The sequence below is a fragment of the Homo sapiens genome, chromosome 1 (assembly GCF_000001405.40).
Source record: "Homo sapiens chromosome 1, GRCh38.p14 Primary Assembly".
NCBI lineage: Eukaryota > Metazoa > Chordata > Mammalia > Primates > Hominidae > Homo > Homo sapiens.
Window position 1 is genome coordinate 6,242,349 of NC_000001.11, and position 19,613 is coordinate 6,261,961.

Genomic DNA, 19,613 nt, shown 5'->3' on the forward strand with positions numbered 1-19,613 from the left:
GCGCCTGGCGGGGCGCCCGGAGTTTGGCCCCGAGGGGGCGGGGGCGGGCGCGGGCGCCGCTTTGTGGGGCCCGCACAATGCCCTTAACACTCGGCTGCCCCTTTTGTGCCCGGCCGCGCCGCCCGCCCGCCCCGCGGTGCCTTTATACCGCGCCGCCACCGCCCCAAGCTCGGAGCGAGTCGCATGGAGGACGCCCCGGCCCGGCCGGTCCTGGCGCTTCAAAGCTGCCCGGCGCGTGCCAGCGCCCGCCGCCTGGTCTCGGCCCCCGCCGCCCTCCCAGGCCCGGGTCGGCCCGGATCTGGCCCGCGGGCCCTGCGGTCCGGGCTGGACAGAGCCCCAGAGCTGCTGTTGCCGCTGCCTCGGCCTGAAAGGGGGAGGGCGTGGCGCGATTCTCCACGCTGCTTGGCGCCTGGGAACGCCGCTATCCTGGGAAGGGTAGGCGGGGGCGGGCTGGGGGGAGATGCCCTGGCTTGATAGAGCTGGGGGGCGCACCCCACCCTGAGTCCCTACACAGAAGCCGGTTTGTTCATTCCTCTGCCACAGGGCTCAGCTGCAGAATTTTTGCGACTTCCCTGTCACCCTCAGAAGCAATGGGGGCTGCATTGTTCAGAATATAATTTTACAAGCCCCAAAAACTAAAGCCATGAGGGCCCATGGGAGGTGTCTAGGTTTGAACCCAGGGACTTCCTGGAGGTCAGCCTTCCTGTCCATCACAGCAGCTACAGTTCAGCCTCCTGGAGTCCAACCAGGGGGATGGCCCCAGAGCCTTGCTGTAGGCCTAGCCCATCCTGGGGCAAGTGCTCCAGGCGCCTCCTCCACTGGGTCCGCCGTAGTCTGAATCATAGATTGGGGTGCGGGCCCTGGATCTCTCGAAGTGTGGCCTGGAGCTCTTCCCAGAATGTCAGTGGTCTCCTGCCACCACCACCTGTGCGTGGAGCTGAGAGCAGGCTCATGGGAGTAGACTTCTAGTGCTTCTCCATGGGGACAGGGTCTACCACCAAAGCCACCCAGCCTGGAAGCCCAGGGCTGTAAGGAAGGGAGAGGCAGCCGTGTTCACCCCACCTGCCTCCTGTGGGAAGTCCGCGTTGGATCCTAGCAGTGTCAGAGAACACAGGACCCAGGCTGCACCCTCACCAGGACCCCTCCCAATCCCAAGGCCCCAGCAAGGATGAGGCTGGCTGTGGCCCCGCGGGTGGGCTGCATGCTTTAATGGGACACAGGCTGCTGCATGGCCCCCGCGGGCTCAGCTTGTGCCTGGCTTTGAGCAGCCACAGGCAGAAAATTGCTGCATTGTCCCGACATTAGGGCAACTAATGCGGCGTTGCGGGTATAACCAGAGCATGAAGTGCATAAAGAGGCGTCGCCTTGGCATCTTCATCAGTCCCGAGGGAGCCCAGAGCCCTGTCATAGTCAGTGAGGCAGCCTGTGGCCAGCTGGCCCATGTACCTCCCCAGTAGGTGACCCCTGGAATGCTTGCACTCCAGGGTATCAAGGACTTGGCAAGTGGGACTGGAGAACTTACGGGGATTGGGACAGGATGGGCATGGAGGGGGTGGGCATGGCAGGGGTCCTCAGACTGGGGAAGTGGTGGAGGCCAGAGAGATAAGGAAAAGACAGATAAAGGGGAGGGGGGGGTCCCTCGGGAGACAGGGGGGGTCCTGAAGGTGAGAGGAAGCCTAGGCTATGGGAGGGGGCTGAGGGAAGGAGGTGGGGAGCTTCCCAGTGCGTCCTCCCTCGGTCCCCTCCTCCTCAAGGTTTCTAGAGTCCAGAGGGCCTCATTGACATGTAAACGAGGGTCCCTATAAAGGCGGCGCTGCCTCGCACTGGTGCATGGACTGCAACATGGGCACGGAGCCTGCTGCCCGGGGCAGCCTCCCCGGCAACTTCCGAAAGGTCTGGGGTCTTGAGGGACTAGGGGCAGGCACCCTTCCCCGGGAGGTGTGGGGGGGTGCCGAGGGCAGGAGGGTGGCAGTCCTGCACTCTAAAGGCTGTTCATCTGCAGATTTCCAAGCCGCTGATGGAGAAAAAGCGCCGGGCACGCATCAATGTGTCACTGGAGCAGCTCAAGTCGCTGCTGGAGAAACACTACTCGCACCAGGTGAGACTCAGGCGGGGTGGGGGTGGGTGGGTGATACGATCCCAACCTCCCTCTCTCCACCTCGGGAGGCCGGTCTAATAGACCTTTCCATGGTCGGGTAGATCCGGAAGCGCAAATTGGAGAAGGCCGACATCCTGGAGTTGAGCGTGAAGTACATGAGAAGCCTTCAGAACTCCTTGCAAGGTATAGGGGAGGGCTGGAGGGAGGAGGGGGAGGCTTGTGGGATCAGAGCCAGGGATGCACAAGGCCAAATAAAGAGGGATACCTCAAGGACCGCTTGACCCCGGGCTTTTGAGACCAGCCTGGGCAACATGGCAAGACAGCAAATATAAAGAGGACAACTCGGAGGCAGGTGCAGTTGGTGAGGAGGGGGCCCCAGCTCGCTAGGGGGCGAGGGAGGAGCAGTAAAGCCCGGGCTGGCTGTGCGATTGCAATCTGGGTGGTAGGTCTGGACCCCGGGGGAGACGTTCGGGTCGTCTGACCTCCGCCCTCCTCTTCCCTTCCTCAACACGCTTCCTCCCTCCTTTCCCCTCCACCTCCACTCCCCTCTCCTCCCTCCCTTCCTCCCCTCCCCTCCCTCCCCCTTCCCCTCCTCTCCCTCCCCCTCCCCTTCCCCTTCCCTCTCTTCCCCTCCCTGTTTCTCGCGTCCGCTCTTCCCCACAGGGCTCTGGCCTGTGCCCAGGGGAGCCGAGCAACCGTCGGGCTTCCGCAGCTGCCTGCCCGGCGTGAGCCAGCTCCTTCGGCGCGGAGATGAGGTCGGCAGCGGCCTGCGCTGCCCCCTGGTGCCCGAGAGCGCCGCCGGCAGCACCATGGACAGCGCCGGGTTGGGCCAGGAGGCGCCCGCGCTGTTCCGCCCTTGCACCCCTGCCGTCTGGGCTCCTGCTCCGGCCGCCGGCGGCCCGCGGTCCCCACCACCCCTGCTCCTCCTCCCCGAAAGTCTCCCTGGCTCGTCCGCCAGCGTCCCCCCGCCGCAGCCAGCGTCGAGTCGCTGCGCCGAGAGTCCCGGGCTGGGCCTGCGCGTGTGGCGGCCCTGGGGAAGCCCCGGGGATGACCTGAACTGAAGGCGCTCCCTATTTGGTCTCGCGACACAGGGACTATTTTCAGCACGCCCACAGTGACTGCCAGGACCCCCCAGTCGTCCGTTCTGGTCGTGGGGCGGGGGTGGCTTGGAGAGGGCCGCGCACCCCGCAAGCGCAGGGAAATACCCCCAGCCCTGCCGGACTGGGTCTGCGCGTCTGGGCATAATCCACCCCCACTCTAGCTCCACCTACACACGCCGGACCGCTCGCTCTCCGCCCATCCTCCGGAGGGGCTGGGAGGGGGTGTCCTGGGCTGCGCCCCTTTCCCAGGGACCCCTGGCGGGCAACCCGCCCGCCCCCACCCCCGCCCGGTTGCCGCGCAGCGGTGGGAATGTCGCAGTTGGCAACAGCGCAGAGCTGACCCCTCGCAGCGAGGAGAATCGCTGCCCCGCCCCGGACCATTCAGCGGACCGCGGGCGCCCGGTTCCCACCGGCACAAAGCGCGCCTGGCCCCGCCCCGCCGGCAAGGGGCCCCCAGCCTCCCCCAACCCGGGATCCTCTTGACTTCCAAGGACCTCCTTCGCAAGCGGTGCTGCCCACCGGGCTGGCGCATTCCCCGAGGCCCACCCTTCTCAGAAGCCCCGCCCCTAAGATGCACCGCCCCAACCGGACGCCCCGCCCACGCGGTTCCTGGAAGGGACCCATTGCTTGGTGGCACCAGCTTGAAGGCTGCAAAAGTGAACCCGGTGCCTCTCGTGGGAGAGGGGAACGCCTTCCGCTCGACAAAGACCCTGGCCCACATTCCAAGCCCGGACCCCGTAGACCCCGCAGCTCCAGATCCCTAGGGCTGCCGGAGAATCCAATCCCTGGACGGCTCTCGGAGCGCGCTGCGCCACTTTATTGGTCCATAATGAGGTCACTGCTGCGCACGGACTTCGGTGGTGGGAGGCTCTCAAGTCAGATTTTCTTCCCCTGGGCTTCTGGCCCAGGAGTCCGGGCCAGCGAGGGGCAGCTTGGGTTGTGGGGTCAGAGATCCTGGCACCCTCTCCCGACACCTTGTAATTCAGAATAAAGCCAGCGCGAATCTGCGAAGTCGGTATCAAGAGGACACCAGAGGTCTAATGTCTCCCACCCCTGCGATGCCTAGTTAGGTGCATCTTTTGTAACCACAAATACCAACTTTCTACAGAAGCTCTTCTCTTTTTGGGCGGCCCTGACCTGCAGGGCACTAAACCCGTCCTGGTCCAAACGCGTGGAGAAGGACCCACGGTCCTTCAAAAACCCAGCTCCACTGTCGCACCTAATGGGCTCGCTGGAGCTGGGGCGAGGGTGGGAGTCCCGGCTGTCGCCGTCCAGGGTGGCCTCTCCGGTCTGCTTCCCGCGGTGTGGGGTGGGGTAGAGGCCAGGACAAATCCCTCTGCAGTCCACCAGGTGGCGGTGTTGCACTGCAGACCCAAAGGTCCTTCCTCCAAACTCCAGGGCGGGCGCGCGGGGGGACAGGGGCTCGACAAGTCCCAAGCAGCTTAGGCCCAGCTCCTATTGCCCTGCCCTGTTCTGTCTCTTCAGTCAAGCTCACGGTGACTAGCAGCCCCAGGTGCCAACCCTGGGGCAGGGGTTGCCACCTGGGCTAATAGGGCCTTTCCTCCACTGGTGGGCTGTGGAGCCCACCCCACTGCTTCATCCTGTTGCTACTCCAGGACCATCTCACTCCTCACTCGCTGGTGGGACCTGAGCATTTGTCTGAAGACAGAGAGCAAGTCCAACCCCCCAAAAATGTCACACTACCAGAAGAACTCAGGTTCCAGAGGAAGACATTAAGGGCAGCTGGCCAGCCCTGCTGTGGGGTTGTAGAAGGGTTTTCTACGAAACCAGCCTTGGAATGCCAGGTGCAAATCATAAGGAAGTTTTTATTGGGTCCTGTACAGAAGAGAAATGCTCCGTTGTCAAAAAACTACAAAGGGATCCCTGGCTCTGGGTGTGCTATGAAGACAACTCCCTCCCCAGTGAGCCCAGGGAACAGGCTGGATGCTGGACAAAGTTTGGGAGGGAGCTCCAGGCCCAGGGTCCTCCACTTGGGGTCTCCCCCTTTATGTTTGTAAAAACCGCAGGATTGGAGTATTTAGAGGACTCTGTCCCCCTGCAAGTATTGCCGTTGGATATGAAACACACAGAGCAAAACCCCAAGGTGACAAATGAGTGAAAACCTAAGGTGACAAGTGGACAGACGCCCCCCAGATGGAGGAGACACTGGCTAGCTGGCGACCTCTGCCCCTACGTAACTTGTCAGTCCTTGAAGGCACAGCAGCATTGGCCAGAGATGGCCCCTCCCGCGGCCAGGGCTGGATTGCAGTTCCCTGCCTTGCTCACCTGTGGCCACAGCTCATACCCCCAGTTACCCCACAGCCAGGGACTGGAGGGGCCTCTGAAGCACAGACAGGCTTAGGCAGCCTCCCACCCCCACCCCAGCAGCTTCTTCTGGGAGTGGGACCCTATCTGAAGGATGAAGAGATGGGCTTGGCCACCTGAGGGCCAGAAGGAACTGGGCACAGGCAGGCTCTATGCTCACCTTGGAATTACCCCAGGTCTTCATATTGTGGGGCCACTGTGTAGGGGTAGGGGTCTGGAGGAGACAGCCTTCTCATCTACCCTATTTCACTAGCTCAAGGTTATAGCTGTTCCTGGTTCTCCTTAGCCTGGGAAGACCCAGGGCCCATGGCAATGCCCAGGCCTGTAAGGGGTCTGCCCAGGATGGAAGGCAAAGAAATACATTGCTCCCAGGGGTTGGACGCCTGCCCGGGACCAGGCCTTGAGCTGAGAACCTGGAAGCCCCTGCCAGGATCCCTTCCTGGCCAGGCCTGCACGGGTGGGGAGTGAGGCTGGGGATGACGCAGGGACACGGAAGGCCAGGCCCTGCTGCCCTCGTGCTCTCCGCTTGCACCTGCCAGCGTCATGGTGGGAGCCATGGAGGGAGATGATGTGGTGGGGACAGGCAACGACGGCAGAGTAATGAGGGTGGGGACACTAATGGTGGTCAAGGTGGCTCAGGTGCCATTGGTGGTGGTCCACAGTGTTGTGCTTAGCTGGGGTGGAGTGTGGGTTCCCAAGGGGGCAGGGGGCACTGAGAGTGGGAGGCCTCAGGCCTAGGGAGCCACACCAGGCCACATGCTGAAAACGGACCTCCACAAAGGCCGCAGAGGGCTCTAGACTACCTCTCACACCTGGGCCACTCAGTGGCGAGGGCCTACAACCAAGAGACTTCAAACAGCCCTGAGAGTTAACGTGGTCACCTGCTCATCACAGATGGGGAAACTGAGGCAGGACAGGTCGGAAGCAGGGAAACCTGATCAAAGCTTGTTCGGGCTCTGAACACCCCTGTGCTTAGAGACCCTCTGTACCCTCCCCCCCCCCGAAGGGTGTGGCGGTTATGGTGCAGTGTGGGTGGAAAGCCCCTGGGGAGGCCAATGGCTCCAGCTCAGCCTCTCCAAAGCGGGGCTTTGTCCGATCCCGCAGTGGCCCTGTCTCAGGTTCCCTGCTCCCGACGTCCTGTTGCGCAGGGCTGGTGATGGCGCAGCTGGACGTGTGCACATGTCACTCACTACCCAAGCCCAAGCTTGGGATGTCACTCAGCTCCCCAGGCCCGACCTCACTCGGCCCGGGACATGCGGTGCCCAGCGCAGTCGTCCGGGGCAGCCGTCGCCCCTGGGACAAGGCCAGCTGGGAGGAGCCGGAAGACAAACGCTGAGGCCAACGCCCCCTCACCCCTGGGAGGGGTGGCGCATGTCTGCGCGCGGGGCGGAGGCGGGCGTCTTTGGTGCTGCGGCCCCGGAGAGCGGCCTGGCCTGCCTGGCGTCCGTGGGGAGGCGCCGGCGGTCCTAGGACGCGGAGCCCAGCGAGTCCGAGTGCAGCGTGGCGTAGCCCGAGGACTCGGAGGGGGAACTCAGGAAGCTGCTGGTGCTGCCGCCGCCGCCCGCCGCGCGCAGCCCCCCGGGCTCGCCCCACGACGCGCTCAGGCCGGGGCGCAGAGAGCCGGCGTGCGAGTGCGCAGAGGGGCGTGGCCCTGGGCTCCGCTGGGCGCTGCTTGGGGGCGTCGGGGCCTCTCCGGGATCTGCGCCGTCGGGGGCGGCGGGCGCAGCGGGGAAGGGCCCGGGCGGGCGGCGCAGGGCCTGTGGCTCGCACTCGAAGGCGGTCAGGGCGAAGGCGTCGGGCAGCAGCGAGGCCGAGGCGGAGCGGGGGCCGGGCCCGGGGCGGCGGCGCGGGCTGCCGGGGGGCGAGTCGCGGGCTCCCCGCGGGCCGCTATCCAGGGCCGAGGGCCGCAGCGACAGCAGGCTCTCGGCCGAGCGGCGGCGCGCGCGGGACGGTGGTGCGTCCTCCGCGAAGGCCAGGAGGCTGGCGCGGCGCCGCTCGGGCCCGGCAGGCAGCACCAGGTGCGCCAGGGCGGCCAGGTCCTCGCCGGAGCCCCAGCGCGGCAGGAAGGCGGGCAGCGGGACGGCGGCCCACACGTCCGCATCGTCGTGGGAGAAGCGCCGCGTGGGCGGGACCTGTCAGGACGCGGCTGGCTTTTACCCCGAGCTGCCCTCCTGGGAAACGGGGACAAACCCTTCTCCACCCTGGGGAAAGGCCTTCCGTGGGTCAGGGACCAGGCTGCGCGCTGGGGCAGTCTGGCTGGGAGCTGTGAGGTTTGGTGCAGTCTCTTCGAGCCGCAGGGCTGTGTCAGACAGCTGGGGTCGGTTGGGGAGGGCGCTCGTTGAGGATACTGAGCCGGCAGGAGATAACTCATGTGACAGGGACCATGGGGGTGGCGGTTGGGGCCCACCCACACAAGCTGTGTGACCTTTGGACAGCCCGTCCTCGGATGGTGACAGCCACCCCTGCGACTGCAGAAGGCGTGAGATGGGCTCCGAGTGGAGAGGCCTCGGGGAGCTCAGGACACCCTGTCACCCGCAGGTGCGGCCTCTCCCCCAGCCCTGCGCTCACCTGCAGGTATTGCATCTTGTCCTCCTGCAAGGGCCGCAGTGGGTAGAGCTGGGGCAGGCCCCCCTCCAGGGCGGAGATCTCATACTTGGCCATCCTATCTAGGGCCACAAAATCACCTCCATAGCCATAGTCCAGGGAGCGCTCCAACACCAGGTCCGGGGAGATGCCACCTTCCAGGCTGGTCTCTGTAGGGTGGGGGGTGGGTGGGGGGGCAGAGCCTTAGGGTCATGGAAACTTGGGGGCATCTGGGAGGGAATCCCAGGGATCCCCCTGAGATCCCCCAACAGACATATACAAGGTAGGGGGCTGGTTAGCTGAAAAGGGAATGGGAGGGGTTCTGGGTTCAAATCCCAAATATGCCACCCTTTAGCTGTGAGACTGGGCAGGGAGGTCACTCACTGAGACAATTTCCTTATCTAGGACATGGGGTGGGACCAGAGGTGACCTCGGGAGGACTAAATAACACACGCAAGGGGCTGGCAGTGCCTGGACAGAGCACGGGCTGGGCTGAGGGTAATGGGATTGCTGGTAACGGTATCCAGACAGGACCTCGGTCTGCAGGAGCCCCCAGGGCAGCTTGCTGGGGATCCCTGAGGTTGGGGGGTGAGCCCAGGAGCTCCGCTGGAGCACTTGCAGACATGTCTACCCTGCTCTCTGTTAACCAGAACATCCCATTACTTGGAACCTGGGGCAGCCAAGCCAGATAGGAGAGTGCCCTGTGGGAACCTGGCTTAGGTCCCTTGGACATTCAAGTACATTTGGGGGTGACACGGGGTGTCTGGTGGTTGAGAATGAAGTCACCTCCTTAGTGGCGTTGCCTGACAGCCGTTTTCCTGCCAACCCCAATGACCTAACCTAGACGCCACTCTCCCTGGGGCCACTCTCAGGCCATCCTCACCATCGTCTGACTCCTCGTCGTTGGCCATGAGGGCCATGCACTTCTCCCGGACAGCTTTGAGGTCAGCCCGGTAGCGGTCGCAGGCCCAGAGGAACACAGGCAGCAGCAGGGCCTGGGCCACGGAGCACCACAGCACGCAGAGTGCCATCCAGGGCGCTGAGGCGTCGGCCCGCAGGCTGCTGAAGCTCACCACCTGTGGGCACAGGGCTCGGCCTGGCACCTGCAGGACCCCCCACCATCACACAAGCTCCCCCTGAGTCTCGGTCTCCCCATGTGTACGGCAGGTCTGACAGGTGGGTATCTGCCAAGGAGAAGGGGCCCTTGGGGAGAAAAGAGCTGGAGCGTGGCAGTGGGAGGCCCCGCCTTCCGGGAGCTACCTGGCTACTGGGCAGCACTGGGTGGCCTTGCTCTGTCTTCCTCCTGGCTGCCCATGGAGAGAAGTGGGGCATGGATTACCACCTCCTCCCCGCTTTGTTTTGAGACAGTCTCATTCTGTCACCCAGGCTGGAGTGCAGTGGCTCAATCATGGCTCACTGCAGCCTCCATCTCCTGGGCTTAAGAGATCCTCCTGCCTCGGCCTCCCAAAGTGCTGGGATTACGGGTATGAATCACTGTGCCCGGCTGCCATCCCCTTTTTGAGATGAGGAAACTGAGGCTTAGAGAACCAGGTCTCAAGCCTGTTCAAGATTCTACCACCCCCTTCCCGGCCAGTGGCCTCCTCAGCCCTACCCCTGCTTTTGGGTCCCTGCATTCCTCCTCTCCCAGGATAGCCCTCGTTGCTCTGTCCCAAAGAGTGATGCTTAAGTGACTGCCACAAAAGAGTGAAAGTGTGGAGGATGTGGGTATGTTGATTCTGCCGTTTGTGGGCCACGTGACCCTCAGAAAGCTGCTAAACCCCTTTGGGGCTCAGTTTCTTCATCTGGAAAATGGGCTAAGAACAGGCCATGCTCTAGAGGGTGAAGACTCCGGACGCTTTATAACAGCAGCATGGAGTGGCCCCACAAGCTGTACCCTCTTCCCCGTCCGTAAGAGACGCAGGGGTGGTTCTGACTCCCTCCCAGCCCCGCCTCTCCCCACCACTGCCCCCACTCTGCTCCCGAGGTGCCTTGTGGGTCTCTGCTGTTTCATGAAGCCCCTGCCCTCCATCTGCACAGGGACCGGGCTGCCAGCCCCCACTGTACACATGAGGACCCTTAGCTGGGGAGAACCAGGCCTGCTGGGGGTGGGGCAGTGGGGGCTGCCTCCTGAGCAAGGCCCTGACTCTGAAGCTGCCACCCCCCGAGTCACCATTCTGGAGCTCATGTCCTCATGTCCTGCAATGGCTCAGGGAAGGCAGTCTTGCCTGCTGCTTGGATGAAACCCCTCAGGCTGGTCTTTGCCCCAGTCCTCTCCCTGTCTCACTGCAGACCTTTCGGGGATGGGCGTAGAGTCCTGCAGGGGGCAGGGGTTGGCTACTGAGTCCAGACTTCATTCTTGGGCCAAGCTGGTCCCAGCTTCACCAAGAGGACCCCAGGCAGCCCCTCTGGACCTCAGACCTTTGTCGGCAAGGCCTTTCTCACAGCAGCCCTCACCTTGGCCTTCCCCAGCCGTTAGTATCAAGTGCAACTCCCCAACAGACATTTGAGGCCCGCCCTGGCCTTGCTCTGTCTCCTGATCCTGCGCCCCTACCTACCTACCTACGGCACCAAAGCTCCCTCTGTCCATCCTGGGACCTGGACCCACCAGGAAACCCATGGGTATGCTATCCTACCTCTGCATCAAACGGCCCTTGAGGCCAGATGCAGTGGTTCACGCTTGTAATCCTAGCAGTTTGGGAGGCTGAGATGGGCAGATCACCTGAGGTCAGGAGTTCGAGACCAGCCTGACTAACATGGTGAAAACCTGTCTGTACTAAAAATACAAAAAAAAAATTAGCCAGGCGTGGCAGCGGGCACCTGTAATCCCAGCTACTTGGAGGCTGAGGCAGGAGACTCGCTTGAACCCAGGAGGCAGAGGTTGCAGTGAGCTGAGATTGTGCCATTGCACATCCAGCCTGGGCAACAAGAGCAAAACTCTGTCTCAAAAATAAATAAATAAATAAAGTAAAACAAAAACAAAAAAATGGGCCTTGGGCAAGGGGAGTAAACTCTTCTGCACTGTAGCAGCTAGGCCCTGGGCCCTGCAGTTGCCGGATGTGGGTTCAAGTCCCACCAGGCTGCCCTGACTCTAGGCAGGTCTTTACACCTCTCTGAACCTCGGTTTCCAAATCTGGAAAATGGGGACGATGATCAAGCCCATCTCAAAGGATTGGGTCTGAGGACTCAACCACCTGATGCCTGGAGTATGAGCAGCCCCAGGGCTGTCCCAGAGACAGGCCCCTCTACCCGACGCCGTCACCCACCAGCACAGGGAAGCCCATGAGGCAGTCGTAGATGAAGACTATGGTGGTCACGAGGCCCGTGGTCTGCAGAGAGGTTTTGGCGGGCTCCGAGCCATCGATGGAGGAGCGCCGCTTGCCCTGCGCGTCCTCCACCACGATGGTGGGCACGGTGAAGGCGCGGCGGTCGGCCTGGCGCCCCACCTGCACGGCCAGCGTCTGGAAGAGGGCGATGGCTGTGCAGATCACGCCCATGGCCACGCTGCCGCCCACCAGCAGCAGGAAGCAGACGCCAAAGCCCAGGCCGATCTCAGCCACGATGAAGCGGCAGCCATGGGTGTAGAAGCGCTCGCTGGTGTCGTGCCAGCCAACGGCAGGCAGGGCCGACAGGATGAAGGACACCATCCAGATACCCATGACTGTGTGCACCGCCTGCTTCTTGGCATTGCTCAGCCTGGCATGAGGCAGGGTGGAACAGAGGGATCTGGCGTCACCCACAGGGCCTCCCCAGGCCTCTGGGGACCTGTAGGGGATCCGCACCACCCAGGCACCCCACACCCCCAGTATATCATAGTCATGGCACAGCCAGTGTGGCAGGGCCTTGTTCCTTGCATAGGAGATACTGTGAACATTGTCACACGTCCCTCTTCCAAGCATTCTGTATTGGCTGCTTGTGTCTACCCATGCAAAGCTACGTGTATGCCCCCAGCAGCTTACAGCAGCCCCTCCTGAGCCTGCCTGCCCTCCCAGCATGCCACAGGTGTGGCCACTCCTGTGTGCGCATGGGCACACCAGATATGTCTTTGTTTTCACGCCTGCTTAGAACCCCAAGAACCCCAGAACTTCACATGCTCACCGGTAGTTGACAGGCCAGCAGACCATCCACATGCGGTGGTAGGAGAGGGAGGTGACAGAGAAACAGGTGGCCAGGGTGAGGGTGTAGAAGGTGGACACGAAGACCTTGCAGAGACCCTCATTCCACTCGAAGTCGGGGCGCTGCCGCCGCAGCTGCACCACGGAGTAGGTGGCGATGGGCACGGCCACATTTAGCATGTGGGTGGCCGCGAGTGTACACAGCAGGAACTCCAAGGGCTTCCACTTCTTCTGCTTGGCGCCAACGCTGAGGATGCCCCAGGCATTGGCCAGCAGGGAGAGGCCCCCACATACCAGCCAGCCCACTGCACTGCCAGGCAGCCGCCGCTCATCACTCATGGTGCAGACCGGAGCTGGCAGGCGGCTGTGGCATCCTCCTTGGAGCCAGGTCTCAGGGAGCAGCAGCCCTCACTCCTGGTGGCTCAAGGATGCTGGGGACCACGAGCATCTGTGGGGGGGTGGCAGTGGGCACTCAGTGACTTCCTCTCTGGCGACAGCGTTGTAGCCCTTAGGTACTTGGGATGGGAGATGGCGAGCGCTACACTTTGAATGTCCCCTGCAAAACTCATGTTGAAATTTAATTAAAACGTGTTGAGATTTAATTGCCATTCTAATACTATTAAGAGGTAAGACTATTTTTTTTTTTTTTGGAGACAGAGTCTCGCTCCGTAGCCCAGGCTGGAGTGCAGTGGCGCAATCTCAGCTCACTGCAAGCTCCGCTTCCCGGGTTCATGCCATTCTCCCACCTCAGCCTCCTGAGTAGCTGGGACTACAGGCGCCTGCCACCACACCCGGCTAATTTTTGTATTTTTAGTAGAGACGGGGTTTCACCATGTTGGCCAGGCTGGTCTCGATCTCCTGACCTCGTAATCTGCCCGCCTCGGCCTCCCAAAGTGCTGGGATTACAAGATAACACTATTTTTTTAGAAATGGGGTCTTGATCTATCACCCAGGCTGGAGTGCAGTGGTGAGATCATAGCTCACTGTGGCATGGAACTCCTGGGCTCAAGGGATCCTCCCCACTCAGCCTTCCAAGTAGCTGGGACTACAGGCCTGCACCACTATGCCTGGCTACGTTTTTTTTTTTTTTTTTTTTTTTTTTTTGAGATAGAATCTTGCTCTGTCACCCAGGCTGGAGTGCAATGGCATGATCTTGGCTCACTATAACCTTCACCTCCTGCGTTCAAGCAATTCTCCGGCCTCAGCCTCCTGAGTAGCTAGGATTACAGGCACGCACCACCACGCCTGGCTAATTTTTTGTGTTTTTAGTAGAGATGGGGTTTCACCATGTTGGTCAGGCTGGTCTTGAACTCCTGACCTTGTGATCCACCCGCCTCGGCCTCCCAAAGTGCTGGGATTATAGGTGTGAGCCCCATGCCCTGCCCTGCCTGGCTAATTTTAATTTTATTATAGAGAAGGGGTCTTGCAGTGTTGCCCAGGTTGGTCTCAAACTCCTGGCCTCAAGCAGTCTTCCCGCCTTGGTCTCCCAAAGTGTTGGGATTACAGGCGTGAGCCATAGTGCCTGGCCATGAAACATTTAAGAGGTGATTAGGCCATGGGTGGGTTTAATGTCTTTACAAAAGGGCTTCCAGGAGTGAGTTCTCTCTCAAGGAGCTTTCCCTCTTCTGCCATGTGAGCAACAGTGCTGTTCCCCTCCAGAGGACGCAGCATTCAAGGCACCATCTTTGAAGCACAGACCAGGCCTTGCCAGACACCAAACCTGCCAGCACCTTGATTTTGGATTTCTCAGCTTTTCTTTTTTGAAAAAAAAAATTTATATATGTGTGTATTTTTTAAATCTTTCTTTTCTTTTTTTTTTTTTTAGACAGAGTCTTGCTCTGTCGCCCAGGCTGGAGTGCAGTGGCACCACCTCAGCTCCTGCAACCTCCACCTCCCGGGTTCAAGCCATTCTTGTGCCTCAGCCCCGAGTGGCTGGGACTACATGCATACACCACCATGCTCGGCTAATTTTTTTGTATTTTTAGTAGTAACAGGGTTTAACCATGTTGGCCAGGCTGGTCCTAAACTCCTGACCTCAAGTGACCTGCCCACTTCAGCCTCCCAAAGTGCTGGGATTACAGGCATGAGCCGCCGTGCCTGGCCTTATTTTTATATTTTAGAGACAGAGTCTCACTATGTTGCCTGGGCTGGTCTCGAACTCCTGAGCTCAAGTGATCCTCCCATCTAAACCTCCTGAGTAGCTGGGATTACAGGGCAAGTGCTCCCACACCCGGCGAGACATAAATCTGTTCTTCATGAGTTACTGCGTCTTAAGTACTGTGTTACAACAGCACAAATGCCCTAAGGCGGGGAAGGCCCTGGCGCACCATGACCTATCTGGCCCTGGCTTACATCAGGCTGCACTCTCCTCTCCACGCCCCGGGAGGACCCTCCTGCCCATGTCCCTGACACCCAGGGGCTGTATACGGGGTGCCCAATAAGTGCGTATTCCCTCACTTCCGTCCACTCCTGGTCAAAGCTCAATATCTGGGCTCCCTTCCAGGTTACCTGCATCCTCAGGGAACCATCCAAGGTGGGCCCAGATGGGCACTCTTGCCCCGTGCATGACCTGGCACCATCCCAGAACAAGTCCTCTTGCCATCAAATGTTCCAGAATCCTCACACAGCCCATGCCAGAGCCCCCCACAGTGGACATCTCTGACGTACTTGCCTTAATTTATTTTACTTCATCAGGCCACGTAAGGACATGTCCCGGAAGACCACACCCCCTGAACCTCCATTTCCCTCTCCTGTTCCCCAAGTGACCTGTTGGGGAACGGAGATGGTCACCACCTTCCTGACCACCCTGAGAGGGGGCAGGCAGTCTGCTATGTCAGCCCCCAGCTGGTCTTCCAGAGCCAGGACCCCGCGCTGAGGTTAAAGCCCCCACACAGCAGCGGTGTGGCTGGGGCAAGGTCCCTGCACCTTCTCCTCTAAGAGACTGCCATGCTTCTTCCGCGGGGAGGCTGAGGTGGACAGGAGCCACATCTCTATAGCCCTGGGCCCAGGTCTGGCACACACTGGGTGCTCTGGGGTAGTGGCCAGTCTCATGCTCTGGTTGGCTTGGGCAGCAAGGGCCTGGAGACGGCCAGTAGACCAGACCAGAGCTTGACTCTGAAGTCAGAGGAAGTGCCGATGGCCTTTCCATGTGAGTCAGGGACATAGGATGCTGGGCAGCAGGCATGTGGCGGGGAGCGGGGAAGCACCCATCCTGCCAGAGGGCTGGGCAGCGAGTCCTTCCCTCACCCTTCCCAGCCTGGCAGCCCTCTGGCTGCAGCCCAGGCAGGCAGTGTGGGAGAAGCCCAGTACCAAGTGAAGGCCTACTTGTGCTCTGCTCACACTTAACTGGCCCTTCTTACCCAGGGGCCATTTAGCCTCATTTGCTCTCTTTCTCATGCCCCGGTCCTTATGGGCATCTATAGTACCAGATACGCCCCATGTCCCCCAGAGAGGAAGTATCTCCAGCTCAAGGTGGGGGGCCACTGCCGCCTTAGCCAAGGCCCCTGGCTCTCGGGCAGGGAAGGCAGCGATGCCCCAGCCAGCAGCTGGCAAGCCTCCTGCTTGTCTTGTCCAGAGTTCTTTCTTTTTTTTTGAGATGGAGTTTTACTCTTATTACCCAGGGTGGATCTCGGCTCACTGCAACCTCCGCCTCCTGGGTTCAAACAATTCTCCTGCCTCAGCCTCCCAAGTAGCTGGGATTACAGGTGCCCGCCACCACGCCCAGCTATTTTTTTGTATTTTTAGTAGAGACGAGGTTTCATCATGTTGGCCAGGCTGGTCTCGAACTCCTGACCTCAGGTGATCCACCCGCTTCGGCCTCCCGAAGTGCTGGGATTACAGGCATGAGCCACCGCGCCCAGCCTTGTGCTGTCTCTTATGGGCCAAGACACTGAGCTTGGAGGTGCCGGGGAGCCTCAGACCTGTGGGCAGATACATATTCACTGGGACCAGGACCTGGGGCAGAGTAGCCTCAGGAGTGAGGGGAGCACTGGGCCACCTCCAGCCTTTGGGGTGCCTGGCAGCCTTTTGGGGGTTCAGAGCAGACAGAGTGTGAGTAAGCGCTGTGAGCAAGAGGGCTGCAGACACCAGTGGTCTTTACGCTCTCAAATAGGAAAGTGGACTCAGCATGCACCTAGCAGGTCAGCATCTATTTCTACCTGCCCAAGGCAGCCTCGGCTGTGAGACTGGGAGGCCTTCCCTCAGATGCCCAACAAGCTCTGTCTAGCCCCGTGAACAAGCTCTGTCTAGCCCCGTGACCTTGGCCCCGCCCACCCTGTCCATGTGTTGATTACTGGTGCAGGGTGGTAAGGAAAGAGCCACAGGCTGCAACCAGCCCAGCCCTTCGCGGTGCCAGTTCTTCCTCTCGTCTAGCCTAATGCTGCATTACTGCTGGGAAAGGCTTTAGGTCTGAAGGCAGGGTGCAGTGGCTCATGCCTGTAATCCTAGCACTCGGGGAGGCCAAGGTGAGTGGATGGCTTGAGCCCGGGAGTTCGAGACCAGCTTGGGCAACATGGGGAAAACCCATCTGTACAACAAATAAAAAAATTGGCCAGGCGTAGTGGTGTGAGCCTATAGTCCCAGCTACTTGGAAGGCTGAGGTGTGAGGATCACCTGAGCCTGGGGAGGTCAAGGATACAGTGAGCCATGATTGTGCCACTGCACTCTAGCCTGAGCAACAGAGTGAGACCCTGTCTTAAAAAGAAAAAGGCTCTAGGTCTGTGGGCAGGGGCACGTGCATCCTCTTGCACACGGGCATGCTCCTCCAGTGAGTGCCCCCACAATTCATCCCCATTGTAAAGTTTGTCCAGCAGAAGCAGGGAGAGGTAAAGCTGTTTGCCCGGCCAGCACTTGCCTGAGCCAGGATCCAAACTCCACTTGCCTGACACCAAAGTCCTGGCCTCTCAAACCCTAAAATGTTGGGGAAAAGGGCATTTTTTTTTTTTTTGTCCCTAGAGCTGAGGTCTTTCTGAGCCTCAGGTCTGCAGGGCAGGTCTCACCGTCCCCACACTGCAGATGGGAACACTTCAGGCAGAAGCTCAGGGCAACACGGAGAGAATAGTGTCAGGGCTGGGTTTGGGGCCAGGCACTCCTGGGCACTGTAGTCTTGGCATGGGAGAGGAACGTCCTGGGGGACAGGGCGTGGACACCGGGTTCCAAGTGCAGAGTGACAGAGGACTGGTTGTGTGGGAACAAAGTGTCCCTCTGGCTCTGGGTCAGTGACCACAGATCCACGGATTGCACCCTTTCTGTTCATTCTTCATAGAATGGAGCGGCCACTAGGGCCAGACCCCAGGCTGGGCTCCCCACAGTGCCGACGGGACCCAGTCTCCTGCTGGGAAGTGTCTCCTGCAGGGCACTTAAAGCCCTGTCTTCTGCTGGGAAGTTTCTCCTGCAGGGCACTTAAAGCATTCCGCAGCATCTCAGGACCCGGCTTCCCACTTCCCCGCCCACTGCAGGGCCAACTGCAGGTGCAACTAGCCTGGGACCCACCCGGGCCATGAGGCCTCCCTCCGCAAGACATGCGGGCGGGGCCGGGGCGTGACGTCACAGCTCCGGGCCAATGAGGCCGCGCGGCCCCGAGGCCCCATTGCGCAACAAAGAGAACCCAGAACTTGAAAGGATTCCCCGGGCTCTGGCTGCGCCCCGGCTTCCGCCCCCACGCCGGTCTCCGCCCGCGCTGCAGCCGATGTGTTCCACGGGGCCCGGCCTGGCCGTCGCCCAGGGAGGGACGCGCAGCGCGAGGCCTGGACATCTCCGGCACGCCCCCCCCAGCCCCCGCCCCTACAGTCCCAACCCCCTGGGGCTCCGATCCCCCCCCCCCCCCGCAATCCCCGCTCCGACTCGCGTGCTCTCGCCTGCTGGTCCCCAGTGGGTGCCCCGAGTCCTGCCCCACCCCGAGGGCGCGTCCGAGCGACAGGCTGGGAAACCTGGCGGGACTGCGGCCCCCGGACCCCTCTGGGTTGCGCCGAGCAGGGGCGGGCTCAGGATCCCCAGACCGCGCCCCGCCCCCGTCCCCTGAGAAGCCCAGGGGGCGGCGCTGCTAGGCCCCGATGCAGGGGGACGGAGGGAGGGGCTGGCCCCAGGGAAGTTACCCCGAAGGTCCCCAAGTTGGGGGGGTGCCAGCGCTAAGCGCCGCTCGTGGGCCCTCGGACGGACCCCGCGACCGATAGGGCGCGGAAAGCCCCCTCCCTTCCCGCCGAGTCCTCCCGCCGGGGTCCTCCCGTCCGTCCGCCCTCGGGCCAGGGCGGCGACGCTCACCCTGCATTCGAGCGCCCGGGGCTCCGGCTCGCTGCTCCCGCCTCCGGCTCCGGCTGCGGTTCCCGCGCCCCCGGGCCGAGCGCAGGCCGCCGAGGGCCGCGGGGGTGGCTGGCGGCGGAGCGGCCCGCGGGCCGGGGCATGCTGGCGGCGGCCACCGGCGGCCGGCGCGCTCCGCTAGGTGGGCTCGGCCCCGCCGCCCCTCCCTCCCCTAGGCGCCGCCGCCGCCGCCGCGCTTCGCTCAGCTCCCGCCGCTCCGCTGCTGCGCCGGGCGGCCGGGGGCGGGGGGCGGAGCAGGGCGCATGTCTCCGCCGGGGCCTCCGCACCGCCCCTCGGCCCGCCCCGCCCCCGCCCGCTCAGAGGCGCGGCCGTCTGTCGGTCTGTCAGCCCGTCCGTCCTTCCGTCAGTCCGTCCGTACGCAGCCCACCCGTGTCCCCGCGTCCGCCCGCGGCCGGCCCGAGCCTCCCTGGGCTGGTGGCGCCTCCTGACAGCGCCGCGCCCCTGGCTCCCAGCTCGGCTCGGTGCACACTCCGGACGCCGCCTTCGGACGCCGGGGCAAGACCCAGGCCCGGAGCTCTGGGGGCCCGGGGGCCAGAGGGAGCTGGGGCAGGAATGGACACTGAGAACCTGGGGCCAGGGCTGGGGCTCAGGGAGACCTTCCTGGAGGAAGCCGCATCTAAGATGAACAATCGGGGCGGGGCGTGGAGAGGACAAGGGACGCATGGCCAGCGGCTTCTAGGAACCGGGAATCCAGTCTGAAGCAGGGGCAGCGAGGGGCAAGGTTGGGCCAGTTACGGATTCACGCTGCTCCCCGGGCCTGGGGGGTCCACTGAGGGAATAAAGTGCACGGGCCACCGGGCTGCCGAGTGGTCCCCGCCACCCCCACAGGCTCAGAAATTGTTCTCTCTGAAACTCTGAGCACCACCGCCCAGCCGGGAGAGGCCAGGGTCTGCAGCCCAGCGCCTGAAGCCTTCTCCTACTCCCCTCCTCCCCTCCTCCCATTCTTCCCGCCCCTCCGCCCCTCCCTCCCAAGCCCTCATGCTATCACCACTCCTCATAGAGCACAGGCTGTCACCCACAGACTGACAGCCTCAGCTGGCCCCATGCAGGCGGAAAGCCTCCTGCTTCTTGATGGGGGCC

At 62.0% G+C, this 19,613-nt stretch overlaps 2 protein-coding genes across 4 annotated transcripts, besides 12 other annotated features; one reads left to right on the forward strand and one right to left on the reverse strand.

The window, feature by feature from the left end:
• Nucleotides 1–1,830: 1,830 nt before the first annotated feature.
• Nucleotides 1,831–3,230, forward strand: HES3 (hes family bHLH transcription factor 3). Its single transcript, NM_001024598.4, has 4 exons — nt 1,831–1,893; nt 2,003–2,098; nt 2,200–2,281; nt 2,762–3,230. Exons 2-4 carry the CDS (start codon nt 2,018–2,020, stop codon nt 3,157–3,159), a joined length of 561 nt encoding a protein of 186 aa, NP_001019769.1. The 5' UTR covers nt 1,831–1,893; nt 2,003–2,017; the 3' UTR covers nt 3,160–3,230.
• Nucleotides 1,969–2,526: an enhancer, noted in NCBI's record as "H3K4me1 hESC enhancer chr1:6304377-6304934 (GRCh37/hg19 assembly coordinates)". NCBI's record gives its function as "activates a minimal SCP1, AML or CMV promoter by ChIP-STARR-seq in naive H9 embryonic stem cells {active_cell/tissue: H9 hESC(naive)}" and the evidence as "EXISTENCE:reporter gene assay evidence [ECO:0000049][PMID:30033119]".
• Nucleotides 2,763–3,114: a silencer, noted in NCBI's record as "fragment chr1:6305171-6305522 (GRCh37/hg19 assembly coordinates)". NCBI's record gives its function as "represses an EF-1alpha promoter that drives an FKBP-Casp9 reporter gene in an ReSE screen in K562 erythroleukemia cells {active_cell/tissue: K562}" and the evidence as "EXISTENCE:reporter gene assay evidence [ECO:0000049][PMID:32094911]".
• Nucleotides 2,763–3,117: a biological region, named in NCBI's record as "ReSE screen-validated silencer GRCh37_chr1:6305171-6305522".
• Nucleotides 2,958–3,117: a silencer, noted in NCBI's record as "silent region_143". NCBI's record gives its function as "represses an Ori minimal core promoter by ATAC-STARR-seq in GM12878 lymphoblastoid cells {active_cell/tissue: GM12878}" and the evidence as "EXISTENCE:reporter gene assay evidence [ECO:0000049][PMID:35858748]".
• Nucleotides 3,268–3,407: a silencer, noted in NCBI's record as "silent region_144". NCBI's record gives its function as "represses an Ori minimal core promoter by ATAC-STARR-seq in GM12878 lymphoblastoid cells {active_cell/tissue: GM12878}" and the evidence as "EXISTENCE:reporter gene assay evidence [ECO:0000049][PMID:35858748]".
• Nucleotides 3,528–3,827: a silencer, noted in NCBI's record as "silent region_145". NCBI's record gives its function as "represses an Ori minimal core promoter by ATAC-STARR-seq in GM12878 lymphoblastoid cells {active_cell/tissue: GM12878}" and the evidence as "EXISTENCE:reporter gene assay evidence [ECO:0000049][PMID:35858748]".
• GPR153 (G protein-coupled receptor 153) lies at nt 5,005–18,750 on the reverse strand. 3 transcript variants are annotated; one of them, NM_207370.4, is made up of 6 exons: nt 18,477–18,750; nt 12,202–12,666; nt 11,370–11,799; nt 8,990–9,182; nt 8,092–8,276; nt 5,005–7,655 (listed from the first exon to the last, which is right to left on the reverse strand). In NM_207370.4, exons 2-6 carry the CDS (start codon nt 12,555–12,557, stop codon nt 6,990–6,992), a joined length of 1,830 nt encoding a protein of 609 aa, NP_997253.2. In that variant the 5' UTR covers nt 12,558–12,666; nt 18,477–18,750; the 3' UTR covers nt 5,005–6,989. The 3 variants fall into 3 exon arrangements, with proteins under 3 accessions (NP_997253.2, XP_011539736.1, XP_016856739.1); XM_011541434.4 differs by having other exon boundaries at nt 12,202–12,774; XM_017001250.2 differs by lacking the exon at nt 18,477–18,750 and having other exon boundaries at nt 12,202–12,904.
• Nucleotides 6,924–6,993: a silencer, noted in NCBI's record as "silent region_146". NCBI's record gives its function as "represses an Ori minimal core promoter by ATAC-STARR-seq in GM12878 lymphoblastoid cells {active_cell/tissue: GM12878}" and the evidence as "EXISTENCE:reporter gene assay evidence [ECO:0000049][PMID:35858748]".
• Nucleotides 7,335–7,876: an enhancer, noted in NCBI's record as "H3K27ac-H3K4me1 hESC enhancer chr1:6309743-6310284 (GRCh37/hg19 assembly coordinates)". NCBI's record gives its function as "activates a minimal SCP1, AML or CMV promoter by ChIP-STARR-seq in primed H9 embryonic stem cells {active_cell/tissue: H9 hESC(primed)}" and the evidence as "EXISTENCE:reporter gene assay evidence [ECO:0000049][PMID:30033119]".
• Nucleotides 17,780–17,969: a silencer, noted in NCBI's record as "silent region_147". NCBI's record gives its function as "represses an Ori minimal core promoter by ATAC-STARR-seq in GM12878 lymphoblastoid cells {active_cell/tissue: GM12878}" and the evidence as "EXISTENCE:reporter gene assay evidence [ECO:0000049][PMID:35858748]".
• Nucleotides 18,140–18,299: a silencer, noted in NCBI's record as "silent region_148". NCBI's record gives its function as "represses an Ori minimal core promoter by ATAC-STARR-seq in GM12878 lymphoblastoid cells {active_cell/tissue: GM12878}" and the evidence as "EXISTENCE:reporter gene assay evidence [ECO:0000049][PMID:35858748]".
• Nucleotides 18,320–18,489: a silencer, noted in NCBI's record as "silent region_149". NCBI's record gives its function as "represses an Ori minimal core promoter by ATAC-STARR-seq in GM12878 lymphoblastoid cells {active_cell/tissue: GM12878}" and the evidence as "EXISTENCE:reporter gene assay evidence [ECO:0000049][PMID:35858748]".
• Nucleotides 18,670–18,989: a silencer, noted in NCBI's record as "silent region_150". NCBI's record gives its function as "represses an Ori minimal core promoter by ATAC-STARR-seq in GM12878 lymphoblastoid cells {active_cell/tissue: GM12878}" and the evidence as "EXISTENCE:reporter gene assay evidence [ECO:0000049][PMID:35858748]".